Here is a 21,637-nt window from a genome sequence, read left to right on the forward strand (position 1 = left end):
GCATCTGTCCCTATATTTATCTCCATTGAAACACCCTTGCTTAGTCCCTTAATGCCTTATATGTGCACTAGTGTAACAGCCTTCTAAAGAGGAGTCCATGGTCTCTCCCTCCATCAATTCTCTCAAAGGAGAAATTGTTAAATAAGAAGACAGTATAGAAAGATTATGTGAGAAATAAAAATTTGCCATAAGGTTAAAATTGTAAAATTGTAAAAATGATACTTTGTTCATATTTTGCCTGCCTTTAAAAAAAAAAGATTGTTTGTTGCTTATGAAGCAAAATATAAACCCCATATAAGGCCCATTGAACAGCCTGTACCATTTAGTCCAGAAGTCAGCAAGCTATATATAACTCACAGGCCACATCTAGCCTGCCTCCTGTAGGTCTGTAAGTGGAGAAATATTTTTGCATTTTTAAATGGTTGGGGAAAATATCAAAAGAGTATTTTAAAACAAGTAAAAATGATGTGAAATTCAAATTTCAGTATCCATAAAGTTTTACTGTAATACAGCCAAAGTTATTCATTTATGTATTGTCCAAAGCTGCTTTCACCCTACAACAATAGGGCTGATTAGTTACAACAGAGACCACATGGCTTGCAAAGCAGAAGATATTTTTTGTCTGGGCCTTACAGAAAAAGTATATTGATTCCTGCTCTAGTGCAATCTTACCTTTCAAGTCTTAGCTCTCTCCCTTCTCCACTGACACATACCCTCTATTCTAGTCTTAAACCAATTTATTTATCTGCTGATTTTCCTACCTTTATCCTTTGCCTCATACCATTCCTTTAGTTTGGATTGTTCCTTCTAGCCCCTTTCAGGGTAATAGAAACTCCATTCATTTTTCAGGGCTCACACTTTGTATCTTTTAATAAAGATTTCCTTGATCACCATATCTAAAAATGCCCACTTCTTTTGTTTCTTATAATATCTTCTAGACCACTTAATAAAAATCAATAAATACAATATACTTTATCTCCCTAACTAGACTGTAAATTTATAGGAAAACATGGTCAGCATCTTATCATTTTTCTATCCCTTAGAGTAGTGAGCCTAGAACCCTGTGTATAGTAGCTATAATTTGTTAAAAAATTGTGATACTTTTAAAAGAAGTTATATGGGTGATTTATAGGATTTAATACTTGTTGGGTTAAAGAAGGTATTTGATTAATAAAAGCTATGCAATTCTAAGCTAGAAAGCAGAGATAAACTACATACTTCTTTTATTCTCTAAAATTAAGCAAATTATATAAAAGTTCCTAAAGTGATGTGATAAGGTGTGGCAAGTTCAAGGTAAAAAGGTCAGGATTTGATCTTTTTACCTTGAACTCATAACAACTTATCATTTAACGGTTTCTTCATATCTTATTCCAAAAATAAGACTATTTTTATACATGTGTATGATTTTTGGCTATGGGGATAACATACGTGTGTACTCACATACCTACTGTATTGGAAATGTACTACATTTCATTAAGAATATCTTAAAAACATATGTAATCCCCAAATGTTAGATTAACTTGATTTGCAGGTTTAAGCAGTCTCATAAAACTCAAAGAAGAATTACATAACTCTAGAACTCAATGTTATTACTTATATAATTTGTTTTTTGTAAGTTTACCTGTTCATAAAGAAGGAAGATCTTGTCTCTCTCAGATTTAAGAACCTTGACATTACCCTGAATTTCTGCCAAATGGCGCTCATATTTTTCCAGCATGCATTTAAGTTCTTCACGATCTCTTGTTGTTGTCTTCAAAAGTTCTACATCACAGTTTGCACCCTATAATTATATAAGGAATTTGAAATCTTCTTTGATATATAGTACTGATAGAAAGGTGCTACTGATGGTAGTGCCCAATTTCTATTTAAGAAAATAAGACTATATAATGAAAGGAAATTATAAAAAATAAGTTTAAAAACCACATCTTTTTAAAACAGCTTCATTCCAAATTATTCCACATTTGCCTGATTACCTCCCAAGTGCTAATTATGCTGAGGATAAAGAACCAATATCAGTAGTCTACTGTGCCATCAAAGAGACCTCTGTCTCTCAACCCCTTTGAAACAGCAATTCACAGCAAATCAAAACAAATTATTTTCAAATTAGGTAAAACAAAGAATAAAAGCCAGTGTCTGGGCAACAAACTCCAAAATATTTGTAAGTTTATAAAACCTACCCGGGCAGTTGGTGATGGGCGTCTTGGACTTTTAGACCTACTTCGCATCATCTTTCTCAAATGTTGAGCTTCACTCTTATAGTGATCTTTGTCTGCTTCCAAAGTCTTGACAAAGGAATCAAGTCTAGAAGGAGATTTATTTTGTGCTTTTTCAGTATCTAAAATTATCTTGCCAAAGAGGAAAAAATTAGACCATTATTTCAAGCTAAACTATAGCATCATTTTCTAAGTGAAATTGAAAACAAACAGGATCCTTAAAAACATTTAATTTGGTATTTTTTAAATACAACATTTAAAAAATTATATATCAGTAATTTTTAAAAAGCAGTTAGATATCTTTCTTTTCCAGGATTTCTGGGTATGCTATATTTTAACTGAAAGATAATTTTGGAGAAAAAATGGTAAAGAAATTTTAGAGAGGCCAGAAATGTCCACAGACCTAGCACACATCCTAGAAATGGCATGGATTTGCTTTAGAAAAACATATGCTACTAGGCTGGGCATGGTGGCTCATGCCTGTAATCCCAGCACATTGGGAGGCCGAGGCGGGCAGATCATGAGGTCAGGAGTTCAAGACCAGCCTGGTCAACATGGTGAAACCCTGTCTCTACTAAAAATACAAAAAAATTAGCTGGGCATGGTGGCGTGCACCTGTAGTCCCAGCTATTTGGGAGGTTGAGGCAGGAGAATCATTTGAACCCGGGAGGCGGAGGTTGTGGTGAGCCGAGAATGCGCCATTGCACTCCAGCCTGGGCAACAAAGCAAGACTCCATCTCAAAAGAAGAAAAACACATGCTACTACTAAAGCAACTGTTATAGCATCTAAGTTTTGTCCAATATTGTTCAATGCGTGAATAAATTAACTGAATGCTGGATATTCCATACTTGTAAGCATTCCCACAAATTTGCATTCACTTTCATATATTTAGAAACACTTCTTTGACAACATTTATTTAACAATACTTTATTGGGAGAAAATTATAGATATACTTTCAGATAGAGGGTTTTAAATATTTTAAATAACACTAAAATGTTTAAACAGAACAGTTTTCATTTCACATTGTTAGATAAATAAAACATTGTTTGGAATTATGTAACAAAATTTATGGCTTAAAAGTATTTACTATTAAGGGGGATAAAAGTTAATGTGTAAACAAACTTCATATTTTGAGAATTATTCAGTCATCATTTTAAATCAATTAACAGATAAGGACATTAATAAAACCAACCAAAAGTTGTTCTTTGCCTCTAGGAAACAAAGGAATAGTGATGAAAGCAGCAAAAAAAAGTCACTCTTACAGATGGGGGTTCCCCTGTGTCCCTAGCAGTTGGTGCAGATTTTAGAAAACAAACATATTTTATTCCTCACAAAACGTGTGAGAGCCAAAGATATAATTTTTTATAGCTTACTGACCAAATAAAAATGATTCCGTAACACATATTTATGAAAAATGTACTTACAGATTTAAGCCTTTTTATTGTATCTTCCAATACTATAATATTATTTTGCTGGCAAATGAGATCAATCTGAAGAAAAAGTAAAAAAAAAAAAAATTATTTCTATTAAAGATGTTTAAACTAATTGGAAAAAGAACATCAAAAAAAAGGAAGCCACTTAAAATAAAAACATGAAGGCAGTGAATATTTTAAAGAAGAAATAACCTGTTTAGCAACCTTTGATGATAAAAGATAAAAGATGATTTACCCAGAATGAAATAACAATTCTCTTAAATTCAATCTTTTGTATAAAATGTTAATTGATTGTATTTTACCAAATTATTCCCCATAAACTGGAACAAAATGTTAGTACTAATTACAATTCTGAAGATAATAGGAAAGCAATAAAAGAATGACTAGAATAAAATAAGTTGACCCAAATTACCCCATTCAGAAAAGATTGCTTTCTCTTCTGAACTCAACTGCTTAGTTCAATTCAATCCACAAAATACTTTTTGTATCAATTTATGACAGTGAACATACCCAGTCTTATAAGATAGGTACCTATAGTCATATATTTAGCATATGACTACATTATATGTTCCTACAGGACAGTGACTAAGTTTTTATGCAAAGCAGTAAAGTTCTTTGCTAATAGCATATTCACTTAATGTATTTTGCAATTCATCAACCTTTCCCTCATTATTCTAAACTGCATCCTGATCTTGCCTACTACATTTTTAATTTGAATTCTCTGGAATTATTGTACTTCATTTGTCCTTTAGACCAACGTTCTCTTCTACGATTTTTCTGGCAGTCATATTTTAAGTTTATGAAATATTAAGGGGTGCTATTATTTGCAACGTTTTTCTCACAAGTGAAGTACTTAGAAATAGAACATAATTACATAGAGTTTGGATAACCTTATGTATAGCCTTGAATAGACAATTTTCAATGTTTTAATGTATACTACTAAGTAGACACTAAAAAGATACAGGTCTACTCTGAATGTGTTAAGATTTCCACATTAAGTATAAAAATTCACTCTGCAAAACAGAGTATCTGGTATGACACATTCTCATAAAAAATAAATTTATACGCAGACATCCTACATATAAACATAACCAAATAAACTGAAGATTATGTCTAGGTATAACAAGGTATGATTATGGTAGATGTTATTTTCTTCATTTACTTTTCTATATGGACTAAAATTTTGTATAATAAATATGCATTAATTTTACAGTGATTTAAAAAAATGTTGATTCCACTCTGAAAAACAAAATAACTGGCCCAAATGAAAAACTGCTAACTCAGTGTTTTCACTTACTTAACAATTAATGAATGCCTACTACCTGCCTGCCATTGTGTTATGTGCTGGGTAAAGTAATGAATAAAAAAGGTAAAAATCTCTGCCCTCATGTAGTATATATTCTAGCCAAAAAAAGAAAAACAAAAGATAATAGTCAAAATATGTTAGTGATTGCATCCCTCAAAAAAATAATACAAGGAGCGCTCACGTTCTAAGCACTTGAGTTAAGTAAACAAGAGAGACAAAGATTTCTGCCTTTGTGGATTCTACATTCCAGCTAGAATAGACAATAATAAACCTAACAAATAATTATATAGTATACTAGAAAAAGAAGAGCAGAGTTAAGGATACTGGGAATATTTATGGAGGAACAGGTTGGAATTTTAAATAGGGTGGTCAGGAAGTCCTCATTGAAAGGTGACCTTTGACCAAAAACTTCAGAGGAAAGGAAGTCAATCATGTGAAAATCTGGGCAAAAAACATTGCAGGCAAAAGTTACAGCTCTAACAAAGGTCCTAAGGCAAAAGAAGGTCTGGTTGGTTCTAAGTATGGAGACCGGCATGGCTGGAGCACAGTGAGGGAAGGGGAAAGGAACAGCAAAGTGCTACAGGGAAAAATAAAGCGAAGGAGAAAGACAGGGAGTGTGTGCAGGGAATGTGGGGATGGGTATTTCAGAGCCCGCTGTGTGGAAGACATTGTGTAAAGTCTTTGTTGTCCCCCACCCCACCCTTTGTTTGTGGGGGACAAACAAAGACTTTACACAATGTCTTCCACACAGCGGGCTCTGAAATACTTTTTATTGAATCACACACAAAAGTAACAATAATGATAAGGACTATCAGAGATCCAGTCCAGTAACATAGCCCCTAGGTCAATTAAAAATATAAATTATAGGAAGAAATAATGGTAAAATTTTAATTCTGCTTCACATTTCATAGTGTCATGTTCAATTATCTGGGAAATGCCATGTTAACACATGAATGATAAACAACTCAAGATGAGAGAATAAACGAAGGCATATAGTTGAGGTGGTTTTAATGTATGTCCACAAATTCTAATACTCCTTCCTTCAATAGCTGGAGCTTAATTTCCCTCCCCTAGAGTGTGGGTTATACTTAGTGACTCACTTTTAAAGATTAGAATATGGAGGAAGTGATGAGATATAACTTTTGAGACTGGGTCATGCTAAGCCCTGCAGATCCTCCTTATTATCTCTTGGATTGTTGGCTGGGGGAGAGGGGAAGGTGGAGGGAGAATAAACTTCCACAAAGAATACATGAAGCAACCCTAGAGAGAGGTCCACCTAGCAAGGAACAGGCCTCCTGCCAATAGCCAAAAGCCATCTGAGTGAGCCATCTTAGAAGTAGATCCTCCAGTAGCAGTCAAGCCATGACTGTGGCAATCAGCTTTTTTGTTGTTGTTTTTTGAGATCGAGTCTCTCTTTGTCATCCAGGCTGGAGCGCAGTGGCGTGATCTCGGCTCACTGCAACCTCTGCCTCCCGGGATCAAGCAATTCTCTGGCCTCAGCCTCCCGGGTAGCTGGGATTACAGGTGCCCACCACCATGCCCAGCTAGTTTTTTGTATTTTTAGTAGAGACCGGGTTTCATCATATTGGTCAGGCTGGTCTTGAACTCCTGACCTGAAGTGATCTGCCTGCCTTGGCCTCCCAAAGTGTTGGAATTACAGGTGTAAACCACCAGCCCTGGCCATCATCTTGATAACAATTTCCTGAGAAACAGTGAACCAGAACAACCCAGCTAAGCCACTCTTGAATTCCCAACCCAAGAACCTGTGAGGTATCAATATTTGTTGTTTGAAGGCATTAAGGTTTCAAAGTAATTACATAGCAATAGCCAATAGTTAATATTGAAAATATTTTAATGAAGTAAATCATGGAAGAAGTTACTGTTGACCTTTAAAAATAAGACTAAAAGTAAATACTTCCCAGTGAATACATTTAATACTATCTCAATTCCAGACAAACTAACAGTAGCTTTAGCCTCAGACTCTACCTCCGCATACCCAGAGTATAATCTTAAACACTAGAAACCCAAATATTTTTTCTCAGCAATCGAATTAGAAATCTTGTTTCAAGTGCCACCCCACAAATTAGGCAAGGAATCTCTCCCACATAAATATAAACCTAAAATGCATATCTAATGTCTTAGGATGATGACAACACACACTGGAGTTCATATCCCCAGTGTTGGTTTTGCATCTTTCTAATCCCCATTCTACTTGGGGACATTCACTTAACTGAGGTTGGTGATTTCCTCATTTCAGGGCATTCTACCAACCCAAAGGCCTATTTCCATTTTGTTCTCTCTTTATTAAGTTTCTGATGTTTTTCCTGTGTCAGCAATGGTATCTCTACTCCAAGACTTACTGCTTACCTCTTTTTCACCCAATAGCTTTCCAACCCTCAAATACACCCAACATTCCACATTATTTATGAAGATCTATTTTCTAGAAATACTCTTTGCCAAACCAGGCAAAATTCCACCTGTAAATTTAATACTTACAGTTTTAGGTAAATCCTAGCTCTTATATTTTAGATGTTTTCCATTCCAAAAATTCTTCCTTTTGAAAGCAGAGAATTTACCCTGACATAGTACTTACTCTCTCTAGAACATAAACCCTAACAACCCTTTAAAAGTGATGTGATGACTTCTAAACAGGGCATTCTCATTGTTGGAATTCAGTCAACTTGGTTTCCCGCAGTCTGGGAAGGAGTGCAGTTAATTTTTAATTTGAAAACAAAAACAAGGAAGACATACTAAAACTCTTCAATATTGATATATATATATTTTTTTGAGATAAAGAGTCTCACTCTTTTGCTCAGGCTAGAGCGTGACGTGATTTTGGCTCACTGCAACCTCTGTCTCTCAGGCTCAAGCTATTCTTGTGCCTCAGCCTCCCAAGTAGCTGGGATTACAGGCGTATGGCAACACGCCCAGCTATTTTTTTGCATTTTAGTAGAAATGGGGTTTCATCATGTTCACCAGGCTGGTCTCAAACTCCTGGCCTCAAGCGATCCACCTGCCTCGGCCTCCCAAAGTGCTGGGATTACAGGCATAAGCCACCATGCTTGGCCCAATTTTGATAATTTTTATAATTAAGACAGATGGAAATCAATTTACCATTAAACTGTGAATGTTACTTTAAAAAAAGTAACAATACATTCCACCTGAAGTGGCATTAAAAAATTAAGTTAAAAAAAATTTTAAAGTAACAATACAAACAAAAGTATTGAAAAATGTTTAAAATATTCAAGCTACTTTTAAATATCCTTCAAATACTTTAACAGCATCCATTTGAAGATAAATAATTCAAAAGTTAAAAACAAATCATTCTTATCTAGTATTTCAAGCAGTTCTAAGGACCTGTTCCAGACAACATGGTTAAAGAAGACTGTATCCTTAAAGTAATAACTCGTGTATTTAAATATTGCACTATTATGGCCAGGTGTGGTGGCTCATGCCTGTAATCCCAGCACTTTGGGAGGCCAAGGTGGGCGGATCACTTCAGGTCAGGAGTTCAATACCAGCCTGGCCAACATGATGAAACCCTATTTCTACTAAAAATATGAAAATTAGATGGGTGTGGTCGTGGGTGCCTGTAATCCCAGCTACTCGGGAGACTGAGGCAGGAAATCACTTGAACCCGGGAGGTGGAGGTTGCAGTGAGCCGAGATCGCGCCACTGCACTCCAGCCTGGGTGACAGACGGAAACTCTGTCTCAACAACAACAAAAAAGTTCTATTATTTGACTTTCCACTAATTTAAACTCATCCATTAAGCAGTCTCAATGAGGTTACTGCATAAAAATACATACAATCCTAGAGGTCATCAATTGGACTCATATTTCAAATTACTTTAACAGTGACTTCAATAACGTTTCACCTGATAATTTAATTGCTTTATTATTTGCTATAAGAGTCCTGTTACATTAAAAGAATGTTTAAGAAATAACACGTAATAACAATTAGCTTTGGGAAATTACTCTGTTACAGACACAATTTACTAATTTGGTGATTAATAAAATCAAGACAAATAAGCATGTTCACAAGCTATCATTTAAAAATTCAACAGGTTGTTTTTTGGCCTTCAAATATGCTCTATCTTGCTTATCAGCCATTAGGCAGCAATGGAGAAGTGAGACTGTCATTTTATAATTACATTTAATCTCTAGTTTCTAAATTTCATGGCAAAGTACTCAATCAAGAAAAAAAATGTTGATCAAAATATCATAAAGCTACAGTAACTAAAACAATGTGATGGTGGCACAGAAAAAGGCAAATGAATCAATGAAAACAAATAGTCCAGAAAGTCACAGATATCTGAGAATTTAGTATCTGTTAAAATGATATGTCAAGTCAGTGGAGAAAGGACTAGGCAACCCTACCTCATATTAGAACAAAAAGAAACTAGCAGTATCAACAGAAGGAAAACTATTAAAAAGTATTAAAAGAAAACTTTAGAAAGTATATCTGTAGTTCTTGAGGTGAAAAAAAAACCTTCCTGAACAAGAACCAAATCTCAGACATCAGTAAGAAAAAAAAAAGATTGGCAAATTTTCAAATGTTAGTTAAAAAAAAGTTTTAAATTGACTTTTTATTGATACATAATAATGGTACATGTTTATGGGGTACATGTGATATTTTAATACATGCATCAACGTATACTGATCAAATCAGGGTAATGGGGATATCCATCACCTTAAAAATTATTTCTTTGTTCTGGGAATACTCCAAATCTTCTCTTTCAGCTATTTTTAAATATGCAATAAATTGTTAATGATAGTCACCCTACTGTGCCATCAAACACTAGAATTTATATCTTCTCTATAACTGTATTTTTGTACCAATTAACCAGCCTTGATTCCATATCTTGGCTATTGTGAATAGTGCTGCCATAAACACGGAAGTGCAGATACCTCTGTGACATACTGATTTCCTTTCTTTTGGATGTATACCCGGCTGCGGTGTTGCTGGATCACATGGCAGTTCTATTTTTAGTTTGGTAAAAATCTTTTTTAATGGGTATTGAAATCAATTACATATGTGAAAATAGACGAAAATAAATGTATCTATTAGTTTGTAGATATCTCTGCAGAGGAGAGAGGAATTGGGAAGTGGGAGCAACATTTAGTTCACGGAACATTCCTGTTGCTTTCAAATTTTTTACAATGACTGCATATTACTTAGGAAATGTTTTGAGTAGAATTTGTTAAAAGAAGTAAAATGTGAGAAACAATTTAATCCTTAGAACAGACATTTAAATATACTGTCAAATCTAAAAAGCTTCCAAATTATACAAATGAGAATGCTACTTTTTCCATTGCATTTAAAAATTACATGATGTTTAAAGTAAAATTAAAATCCTTATCCGTGGTAAATCTGGTACCTTGGCTTCTTCAAGTTCCTTGTTGGCGGAATCCACCACAAAATTTTTCTCTTTTTCGAGTTGCTCTGCTAGTTGGTCAATTTTAATCAATTCTTTACAAAGATGCTCATTGTGGCTGGTTAAATCATCTACTTGACTGCTTACCACCTCCTTACTATCCAAGAGTTTCCTAACATATTCTTCCAAGCCATGATTTGTCTGTTTGAGATCTTCAATCTGTTATTATCAGAAAAAAAATCACATTAAAATAATTCCTTAGCTTTTTTCTGGGGAGCAGCTGTGTGACTGGAATCAGGAAGGGAGATTTGCTTCCCTGGCAAAGAAACTTAACTCTATACCTTTTTGTGCCTTCTGAATTTTGTACCATGTGAATGTATTACCTATTTGAAAAAATATATTAAATAAACATTTTAAATTTTATAGCAATATCTTTCAAGACAATTTATAGTTTATTTTAAAAAGAACTTAATTACTATTGATTTTTAGCCAATCTATTAGAAAAATGGCCAAATATTTATATCTGCAATAAAGAAACTTCAATAGCTTTGAAATTAATTTTAATACCATTAAGAGTTCTTTTAATTAAATTTCTAATTATTGTTATTAAAATATATTAACTCTTTTAGGCCAGGCATGGTGACTCACACTTGTAATCCCAGCACTTTGGGAGGCTGAGGCGGGCAGATCATCTGAGGTCAGGAGTTTGAGACCAGCCTCGCCAACATGGTGAAACCCCATCTCTACTAAAAATACAAAAATCAGCCGGGCATGGTGGCGAGTGCCCGTAGTCCCAGCTACTTGGGAGGCTGAGGTACAAGAATTGCTTGAACCTGGGAGGCAGAGATTGCACTGAGCCCAGATCCTGCCACTGCACTCCAGCCTTGGTGACACAGCAAGACTCTATCTCAAAAAAAAAAAAAAAAAAGTATATATACATATATATATACGTATATATATGTGTATTATTAACTTTTTAAAAAGTCCTTTTGAAAGTATCAGTAACTTACTTGACTAAGCTAAATATCAAATCAATCAAGTATTTGCTGCCTAATGTGGAGGAACACAGCTTTCCTTCCCAGCCCACTATCAAACCATCAATGGATGAAGAAAAGGGCCTTTTCTATCACAAAGGTATCCAAATGCCTTTAAAGGAAAAAAAAAATTAGACCCATTGAACAATGATTATGTCAGGAACTATATTAAATTCCAAAAATACAAAGATAGGTTAGATACCTGCCCTCAGGGAACTCTTTGTTTACTTGAGGAAATACAAAGACAACATGTTAAGTGCAATAACAAAAATAACTACGAGGTAAAGTCATGGTACAAATTCTTTTCCATAGTACTTGTCTCTCATTGTGTATTTAACAAATATTTATTGAGCACCTATTGTGTCTAAGATACTGTGTTAGTACCCTGTAAAAGATGCATTAAAAACAACAGCAACAAAAAAAAACACTCGCACACAGAAGTTTCAGTCTGTAAGGAGCATCTGAAATTGCTAAATACCTGACCTCTTAGTTCTAGCATTATTCTTGCCCTGAGGTTGCCCTTTTCAAACAGCTATAGAGTTATCGTCTTCCAAACCATTAAAAACAAAGTTGTCTTCAAAAAAACTTTATAAGTTGTCACTACATAAAAATATCCTAAGTCATGAATTATTTTTAAATATGCTACAATGCCATTTATTGTACCCAGTAAATAGCCCACCAAGAGGCATAATTAAAGTCATTATTTTAATCCAGTGTCTCCTACTCTCTTCTCTTTTGGCCTTCTCCCATCTGCTCTCAAAAATTCTTCGAAAATGCAAATTTGAGGTCATTCCTATAACCTTATGTTGCCTCATGACACTGAGAATGAAATTTTAAAATGCCATTTATGATCCAACTCGACTTAGCTGTCCAACCTAACTTCCCACCACCAGACACACTATAAAAAACAATCTCATTAAATTCATTTAAAAACTTCTTTTAGGGGAGTTATTGAAATGTACACACTTGAAATTGAAGTGTTATCAAAGAACCCTCCTTATGAGAATCCTCAAGGAAAACCCTACTTAGGCTTCAATTTCAGGAAAATACGTGCCTTTTTTGGAAACCTGGTTTGTTCTTACCCTAACAATCATTAATTATTTAACTAATATTTCTATTTGCCTTTGCCTCTAGAAATTTTAAAGCTTAATCCAAAGCCCACCTCTAGCAACATGCACAGAAACTAGGTACAATGATCTGTTCGTTATTGTCATCCCAGGCTTTCACTGTTTACTTATTTTACCCTACCCTTATTATTTCAGCTACTTTCTTTTAAAACAAACAGACAAACTACAGGACGTGAAACAGATAAACTTCAAGTTGTGTTTTTCATCTTTGTTCGTGGCTTTTCCTATGCCATGTTTCTCAGCAACAAGAGCACACTAAAAATGTCTGTTAACTTCCCACTGCACCAGGAGATGTTCTTGGTGCTTCTCCTTTCCAGTATGTGTGCCCATAAAGCCTCTTATATAAGTTTATCTCAATATTTTATAAGATGCATTAAAATCATTTATTTCCCTGTCCCTTCTACTAGATTCTAAACAACTTAAAAGACTGTATTGTCTCATTTCTGTATCAACACATCACTTGTTTCTGCATCATTTATTACGTATCTCACATATAATCCTCAAATTATTAAGTAAGCAAATAAAACAAATTATTAGTAATATAAATGAACACTCCCCTCCCTTCTCTCATGAACTTTACTTTTACTCAATTCCAAGACAAAAGTACTTTAGAAGAGGCAGTCTGGAGTAACACAAAGGATATGGGCTCTGGACTTCGGCAGAGTTAGGTTTAAATCCTGTTGTAGTTCTTTACCAGTTATGTAATTGGGGAATTTACCATATTTTCTTGATCCTAGAAGATGCACCTGACTTAAGAAAAAAAATAAATGAGAGTCTCTTGAGTTTCTTCTGTTAAAGGGACAGAATGCCTAGAATTTGCAGAATTGTCATTAGACATTATATAAGAGCTCAAGTAAAATTTCCAGTATTATAGGTACTCAATTAGTTTTGTTAAAAATTTTTATTTTTAAATAAGATTCACAGGAAGCAAATGTAGTACAGAGAAGTCTCATACGCCCTTTACTCAGTTTCCGCTGATAGTTGTGTCATAAACAACATAGTATATCATACCCAGATACACCATGTGCATGGTGTTCTATATGATTTTTCTCACATGTGCAGATCTCTGTAACTACCACCTCAAGATATAGAACTGTTCCATTACAACGAGACCATTCTTCTGCTGCCCCTTTATATTCTCCTTCCCCGCCCTCAATTCTTCCCACCAATGTGTACAATTTTGTCATTTTGAGAATGTTACATAAACAAAATCATAGAGCATGTGATCTTTTGAGATTGCTTTCTTTCACTCAGCACAGCGTCCTTTAGATCCACGCAAGTTGTTATTTGAACCAAATAGGATCATTCCTATTTATTGCTGAATAATATTCCATGGTATGGAATACCACAGTTTAACCATTCACCAATTAAGGAAAACTGGTTGTTTCCAGTTTGGGAATATAACAAAGCCGCTATGAACAACTGAGTAGGATATAAGTTTTGAGTAGATATAAGTTTTCCTTTCTCTGGAATAAATGCCCAGGAGCACAACTGCTGGGTTGTATGGTAAATGTATGTTTAGTCTTACCAAAAACTGCCAAATCATTTTCCAGAGTGGCTGTACCATTTCATATTCTTACCAGGAATGGATGAGTGATCCAGTTTCTCCTCATCCTTGCCAGCATTTGGTATTGTCACTATTTTTTATTTTAGTTACTGTATTGTTATTTCATCATGGCCTTAATTTGCATTCCCCTGATGTTTACAGAGGCTGAACATCTTTTTCTAGTATACCAGACATCCTTCTGTGAAGTATATATATTCATATATATATATGTGTGTATATATATTTGAGACAGAATCTCATTCTCACCCAGGCTGGAGTGCAGTGGTACAATCTCAGTTCACTGCAACCTGCCTCCTGGGTTCAAGTGATCCTCCCACCTCAGCCTCTCAAGTAGCTGGGACTACAGGCATGCACCACCTGCCTAGATAATTTGTGTAATTTTTAGTAGAGATGGGGTTTTGCCATGTTGGCCAGGCCGGTCTTGAACTCCTGGCCTCAAGTGATCCATCCACCTGCCAAAGTGCAGGGATTATAGCCACGAGCCACCACACCCGGCCAAAAACTTCAATTTTGATTAAGTCCATATTACCAATTTTTCCTTTTATGAGTCATGCTTTTGGTATCATATCTAAGAACTTTCCATCCAAGCCTAACTTCCTGCAAATTTTCTCCTATGTTACCTCCTAAAAGTCTCATAGTTTTATGTTTTACATTTACATCTATGGTCCATTTAATTTTTTATGAAGTGTGAGATTTAAGTGGAGGGTAACTGTTTTCCCTGTATCTAAATGCTCCAACACCACTTGTTGAAAAGACTATCTTCCACTGAACTGCATCTGCATCTCTGTCAAAAAATCGTTTGGCTGTACTTGTATAGGACTATCTCTAGATTCTCTGTTCTGTACCATTCATGTATGTATCTATCCCTCACCAATATCACAGTCTTGATTACTGTAGTTATAAGTGTTGAAATCATGAAGAGTTTTGTTTTTGGTGCCTTCCTGTGGATTATCTCAACATTTTTTAGAATTCTACGTTGATTTATTTATAGTGTTTCTGAGTGTAACTCTTGTTTGATCTTTTTCTACCAGTTGTTCTAGGCATTACATTATATATACAGAACTTATCATAGCCTACATTTTAACAGTTCAAGTGAAAGTACAGAAACCTTACCTGTTAGCTCCCTTTACTCTCCCCTATTAATAAAATAATTTAAATATTTCCTGTACATGCATTTAAAACCACATTCGACAGTTAAATACAATTTTGTAAAATTAAAAAAAAATTTGAATCGGAGTAGTGGCTCACATCTGTAATCCCAGGACTTTGGGAGGCTGAGGCAGTGGATCACTTAAGAATGGGAGTTCAAGACAAGCCTGGGAAACATGGCAAAACTCCATCTCTACCAAAAAAAAAAAAAAAAAAAAAAAAAATCAGCCAACCATGGTGGTGCATGCCTGCAGTCCCAATTACTTGAACGGCTGAGGTAGGAGGATTGCTTGAGCCCAGGAGGCCAAGGCTGCAGTAAGCAGAGATGATGCCACTGCACTACAGCCTGGATGACAGAGCAAGACCCTGTCTCCAAAAAAAAAAAAGAAAGAAAGAAATTCTGTTTCATTTACCCATATTTTTTGCTCTATATATTGTTCTTCCTTCCTACTGCTCCAAGATTACTTCTTTTATCACTTCCTTTCTGGTTAGAGAAATACTTTTAGCTATTCTTTTAGGGTAGCTCTGCTGGCACAAATTATCTTAATTTTTCTTTATCTGAGAATGTCTTTACTTTCCCTCAACCTTCAAGGATACTTTCTCTGGATATAAAATTCTGAGTTGACAGGTTTGCTTTTTTCTAGCACTTGAAAAATGTCGTGCCACTTCCTTCTTACCTCCAGTTTTTCAGATGAAAAATAACTGCTGTCACTTGAATTGGTGTTCTTCTATAGATAATGCATGGTTTCTCTCTGGTTACTTTCAGGATTTTTTTAGTGTCTTGGCATGCATTTCTTTGGGTGACTCCTGTTAGGTATTCCATCACCTTCTTTCATCTGTTTTATGTCTTTGTGTCAAATTTGTGGGAAATTCAGCCATTATCTCATCAAATTTTTTTAGCACCACTTTCTCTCACTTTTTTGTCGAACATAGTTTTACCTGTCTCTGAGGCTCTATTCAAATTTTTTTCCATCTATTTTCTCTCTGATGTTCACATTAGGTAATTATTTTTCTAGTCTCGTGTTCACTGATTCATTCCTCTCCTCCATTCTATTGAGAACATTGAGCTTTTATTTTCAGTTACTTTATTTTTAAAGCTTGTTTTATTGTCACAAAATATATATACATAATTTTCATTTTAACATTTTTAAAGTATATAATTCAGTGGCATTAAGTATATTCACAATGTTGTACAACCATCACCACTACCTATTTCCAGAATTTTTTTATTCCCCTCCCCCAAAAAACTCTGTACCCATTAAACAACAATTCTATCTCCATAATTTGCCTATTCTAGGCAGAGGTGGAATCAAGCATTATTTGTCTTCCTATGTCTGGCTTATTGTACTTAGTATGTTTTTGAGGTTCATTCATTTTGCAGCATGTATCAGAATGTCATTCCTTTTTGAATCTGAGTTATATTCCATTGTAAGCACATGCCATATTTTGTTTATCCATTCATTTGTTGACATTTGGGTTTTTTCTACCTCTTGGCTACTGTGAATAATGCTGCTATGAGCATTTGTATATACGTATCTACTGGAGTCCGTGTTTTCAACTCTTTAGGATATATACCTAGGAGTGGAATAGCTGGATCATATTATTAGTCTGTCTTTAAAATTTTGAGAAACCATCAAATGATTTTCACCAAGGTGGCTCCATTTTACATTCCCATCGGCAATGCAAGTGTTCCAATTTCTTCACATCCTCACCAACACTTGTTATTTTCCATTATAACAACCACCCTAATGGGTATGAAGTGGTATCTCATGGTTTTGATTTGCATTTCTTTAATGGTTGATGATGTTGAGCATCTTTTTCATGTATTTATTGACATTTGTATATCTTCTTTGGAGAAATGTCTGTTCAAGTCCTTTGCCCATTTTTGAATTAGATTTTTCTGGGGGGAAAGGGGCTAATTGTAGGAGTCCTTTGTATATTCTAGATATTAAGCCCTTTTCAGATATGTAATTTGGAAATATTTTCTCTCATGTAGTTAACAGACTAAGTTTTTGGAGTAGTTTTAGGTTTACAAAAAATTGATTAGGAAGTACAAAGAGTTCCCACACACTCCTCTCTCTCTTCCTCAACACAGTTTCCTCTATTATTTACATTTTGTATTAATGTGGTATATTTGTTACAATTGATGAAATAATACTGTTACATTATATATATATATTTTTTTGAGACAGAATCTCGGTCTGTCGCCCAGGCTGGAGTGCAGCGGCATGATCTTGGCTCACTGCAACCTCTGCCTCCCGGGTTCACACAATTCTCCTGCCTCGGCCTCCTAAGTAGCTGGGACTACAGGCACCCACCACCATGCCCGGCTAATTTTTTTCTATTTTTAGTAGAGACGGGGTTTCACCGTGTTAGCCAGGATGGTCTCGATCTCCTGACCTCATGATCCGCCCGCCTCGGCCTCCCAAAGTGCTGGGATTACAGGTGTGAGCCACTGCGCCCGGCCTACTGTTACATTATTAATAACTAGTATCTATAACTTACCTTAGGGTTCACTCTTGGCGTTATTCATTCTGTGAGTTTTGACACACATAGGATGACATGTATCCACTATTAGTATATCATACAGAATAGTTTCACTCCCCTAAAAATCCTGTGCTCCACCTATTCATCCCCTCTCCCTCCAATTCCTGGTAACTACTGCTCTTTTTATGGTTTCTATAGTTTTATCATCTCCATATAGTTGGAATCATACATTTCGTAGCCTTTTCAGCTTTGTAACATGTTTTCAAGGTTCACTCTGGGTCTTTTCATGGCTACGTAGCTCATTTTTAAAATACACTGAATACTATTCCACTGTATAGGTGTACAACAGTTTGCTTATCCATTCATCTATTGAAAGATATCTTGGTTGCTTCCAAGTTTTTGGCAATTATAATAATGCTGCTATAAACATTCATAGGCTGATTTTTGTGTGGACCAGTTACTTTATTTTTTAGTTCCAAAATGTCCATTTGGTTCTTCTTTACATCTCTTATTTTTTCCTGAGACAACTTTTCTTCATTCGTTTCCAGCATGTTCATAATTGCTTGCTGAAGCATTTATATGACTGCTTTAAAGTCCTTGCCAGATAATTGTAACATCCGTTCCATTTCAGTGTTGGCTTCTCTTGTCTTTTCTCAAATCTTCCTGATTCTTTGGATTACAATGCCTTTTTTAAAAATTGAGACCTAGCATTGTAAGACTCTGGATCTTATGTTTTAGCAGGCCTCCTGTGACAATGCTCCAACTAAAAAGAAGGGACATTGCCTTATTTCTGTTAGATCAAAGTAGAAGTCCAGTTCCTCTACTTGGCATCTGTTGATATCTGGAAAGGGTGGTGTTCCTAGATACTGCTAGGCAAGAATGGGAGTTCAGGCTCCCCACTAGGCCTCTGCCATTACCACCAGCCTGGGAAGAATCCCAGAGGTGCCTCATTACAGTTCCCTACGTGTCCCCCACTGACACCATGGATGGGTGGCCTTTACTGCTGATAGGTGGTAGAAGTTCAGGTCTCCACCACAGCAAGAAGGAGTGCCTCTTACTATAAAGTAGGAGTAGATGGCTTGGCTCCTCATGTTGTCTCTGCTGACATCACGGGGTTCAGGGCCTCCTTATCCCCTGGTGAGGATAAAAGTCCTAGTTTCCCACTTAGCCTTCTCTGATATCACCCTGGTGTGGGAGGAGTGGGTAGGTGTAGGCACAAGTGGGGCACAAGTGTGTAGGTGAGGCACAAGTGGGGCTCCTTGTTATAGTCTGGCAAGCGTGGAAAGTGTAGGCTCTTTACTTGGCCTGAGCTGGCAGGAATGGGGCTGTAGTTTTTTCTGTGGTATTTGCTTGGAGTGGATAGTTACTCTCTTAAAAGTTGTCTGCCTTGATAGGCTGCTCCTTTCCTGGTCCTTTTCTTCGGTCTTTCTTTTGTGCCTATTGTTATTTCTAGTTGCCAGTTTTTCTAGCAGCTGTCTGCGACATACGGAGAAAAAGAAACCCAGGAACAAACATGTTGTTCTTTGTGTCTTGAGATCCTTAGCCAATGTTCCTTCTCCTCTCCACCTTTCAAAGTCTTAAATTCTTTTATACATAATGTTCAGAGTTTTTAGCTGTACTTAGCAGGAGGAATAAAAAAAAGTAAGTCTACTCTATCTTCCTGGAAAAAGAAATCTCTTTTAATAGCCTTTATTAATAGCTATATTACATGTCAAGCATCAGGAGAACAGGAACAATACTGAACTTGAAGTTCAGAGAATTGAGTTCAAATCCCGGCTAACACGGGAGTTTGGAGAAATCGTAGTTCTGTCACTTGTTACTCAAGTGTCATAATTATTTAACCTCTTAGAACTTCAGCTTCCACATCTATAAATGGAAACGGCATCACTTTTTCGCAAGTTGGGGATGATTAAGTAAAAACTGTATACCTGAAAACATCTGACACAACACTTGACACGTAGTTTGCACTCACTGACTCTGACTCTATGTTTATCAAAATGGTTAAGATAAAAATTGAATGATTTTAGACCCATAACATTTAAATGAGCTCTGAATTAGTAGTTATTTATTCTCTATCTTCTTGTTTCAAAATAGGCTCCCACCCCAAATTAAGTCAGGAAAATATGTTGTAACTAAACGCAACCTGTAATTTCAGTGTCGAGATGAATCTATCTTGGTTTCTCACTTCTTGTTCTAGCTGGAGAGTATTCTGGTAGTTTTCAGCTTCAGAAACTGGAGCCCCTAGACCAAAATCATATTCTTTGGTGGTAACCTAGTACAAAGAATGGGAAATAATACAGAGGCATTCAGTTTAAAACAGCTCTGTGATTTCTTACATCAATACATTTTGAAAATTGATAATATTCTTAGATTTTTTTTAACCATTTCCCACCAGCTAAGAGGATTTCATCAAACTTTACCTTCTTAAAATTTATAAAACTTTTTCTGTGTGTTGTCCAAATGGTACTGAACATGCTTTTCAAAGACATTCCCTACACTATCCTTTTGGTAATCATGGTTCTACAGAAATATGGATCAGTAGCAAATTAAAGAGTCTACCTCTAGGCTTGTGTTGTCCAAAATAGCTATTAGTGAGTTACGTTTGCTGTTGCTACTCTATACAAGAAAAAAGGTTTGCAATTAATATCACAAAGAGTGAATTTCCTGAATATAGAAATAATCCCTAGAAATAAAAAAGATTAAAAAAGTACTCTAATAGAAAAATTGGCAAAGAATGTGAACATTTACAGAAACGGCTCCTAAATATTAAGATGTTCAATCTCAACCTTTAGTGACACAAATTAAAACACTGAGATACCCCCTTTTAACCATCACATGGCAAAGATCAGTAACATGGATATAGCGTCCTTACGTATCACCGGTGGGAGAGTAAACTGATACAATATTTATGGAGAACAATGGTATAAAATCTATCAACATGACAAATGCACATAGCTTCTGTTCAAATAATTTCATTTCTAGAAATTTATACTACAGCTATATATATGTACACTTATGCAAAATAACAAATGTTAGAGATTTTTCACTTTAGCATACTATACATACTATTCTGCATCACGCTATTTTACTTGACAACATATCTTAGAGACTGTGTAACTTAGGAAAACAATTTTTTCTTTCCTTGAATCAAGGCTACCATTGTGTTAAAAAAGAATTTGTTATGAGCATCTTAGATCTTTCCTCAAAACACAGCTGCTGTTCTCCAAAATCCTACCTAGGGAATTACAGAATCAGGATCTCCCCAGTCACTGACCTTATGATGCACTCTGTGTAACCCAGCACTTAGACAGGCCGGCAGATTTATTTCCCTTTTTTCTCTTCTCTAAACAAGACACAACTCTTCTTCATTGCAACAGTTACTGCCCCACCTGGAACCTCAACATTAGATCTCACAGAATATTTCAAATTATGAAGCATTTAAACCCCCAGGGGCTGGACTGAACTCCTAACTACCATTTCTTACATGGTTTCTGTTAAAAATGTATTGCTAGTTATAAACATGATTTAGAATAACAGAATGAAACGACTCCTCACTAGAGCAGTACTGTTCAATTTTTACTGAATTTAAGAATCATCTGGGAATGTTGTGTGAATGCAGATTCTTATTTACAGGCTGAGATTTGACATTTCTATAAAGCTGCTTGGAGATCCCTATTTGGTTGGTACAGAGACCACATGTTGAATCATGCTGTGCTGTAATTTCTGATTTATTTGAATAGCAAGGATCTATTTAAGTCTAAACCCATCCAATATTCAGAGTACTTCTGTAATTTTGTCCCTTCCTACTTCTCCAAATTTACCTCCTACTTGATACCTCCAAGAATCCCTCTATGAAAGACAAACTATGCAACACTTAAGGGTCTCACCCTGTCACCCAGGTTGGCATGATCACGGCTCACTGCAGCCTCGAACCCCAGGCCCAA

The 21,637-nt window shown here is 35.6% G+C and overlaps 1 protein-coding gene across 23 annotated transcripts in view; it reads right to left on the reverse strand.

Moving 5' to 3' along the window:
• TSGA10 (testis specific 10) overlaps positions 1–21,637 on the reverse strand; it is a 157,706-nt gene that overhangs the window by 109,951 nt on the left and 26,118 nt on the right. For 10 of the 23 annotated variants that reach the window (XM_047445931.1, XM_047445932.1, XM_017005041.3 and 7 more), the window contains 5 exons: positions 19,837–19,965; positions 10,333–10,548; positions 3,639–3,704; positions 2,178–2,345; positions 1,622–1,780 (listed from right to left, as the gene is read on the reverse strand). In XM_047445931.1, the coding sequence (XP_047301887.1) occupies positions 1,622–1,780; positions 2,178–2,345; positions 3,639–3,704; positions 10,333–10,548; positions 19,837–19,965 (738 nt within the window). Of the gene's footprint in view, positions 1–1,621; positions 1,781–2,177; positions 2,346–3,638; positions 3,705–10,332; positions 10,549–11,339; positions 11,476–11,565; positions 11,591–13,208; positions 13,241–19,836; positions 19,966–21,637 lie in introns of those variants that run through there. The other 13 variants (NR_146001.2, NM_182911.4, XM_047445934.1 and 10 more) reach the window with 10 other exon arrangements.

The sequence above is a fragment of the Homo sapiens genome, chromosome 2, assembly GCF_000001405.40.
Source record: "Homo sapiens chromosome 2, GRCh38.p14 Primary Assembly".
In the NCBI taxonomy this organism is placed as follows: Eukaryota; Metazoa; Chordata; class Mammalia; order Primates; family Hominidae; genus Homo; species Homo sapiens.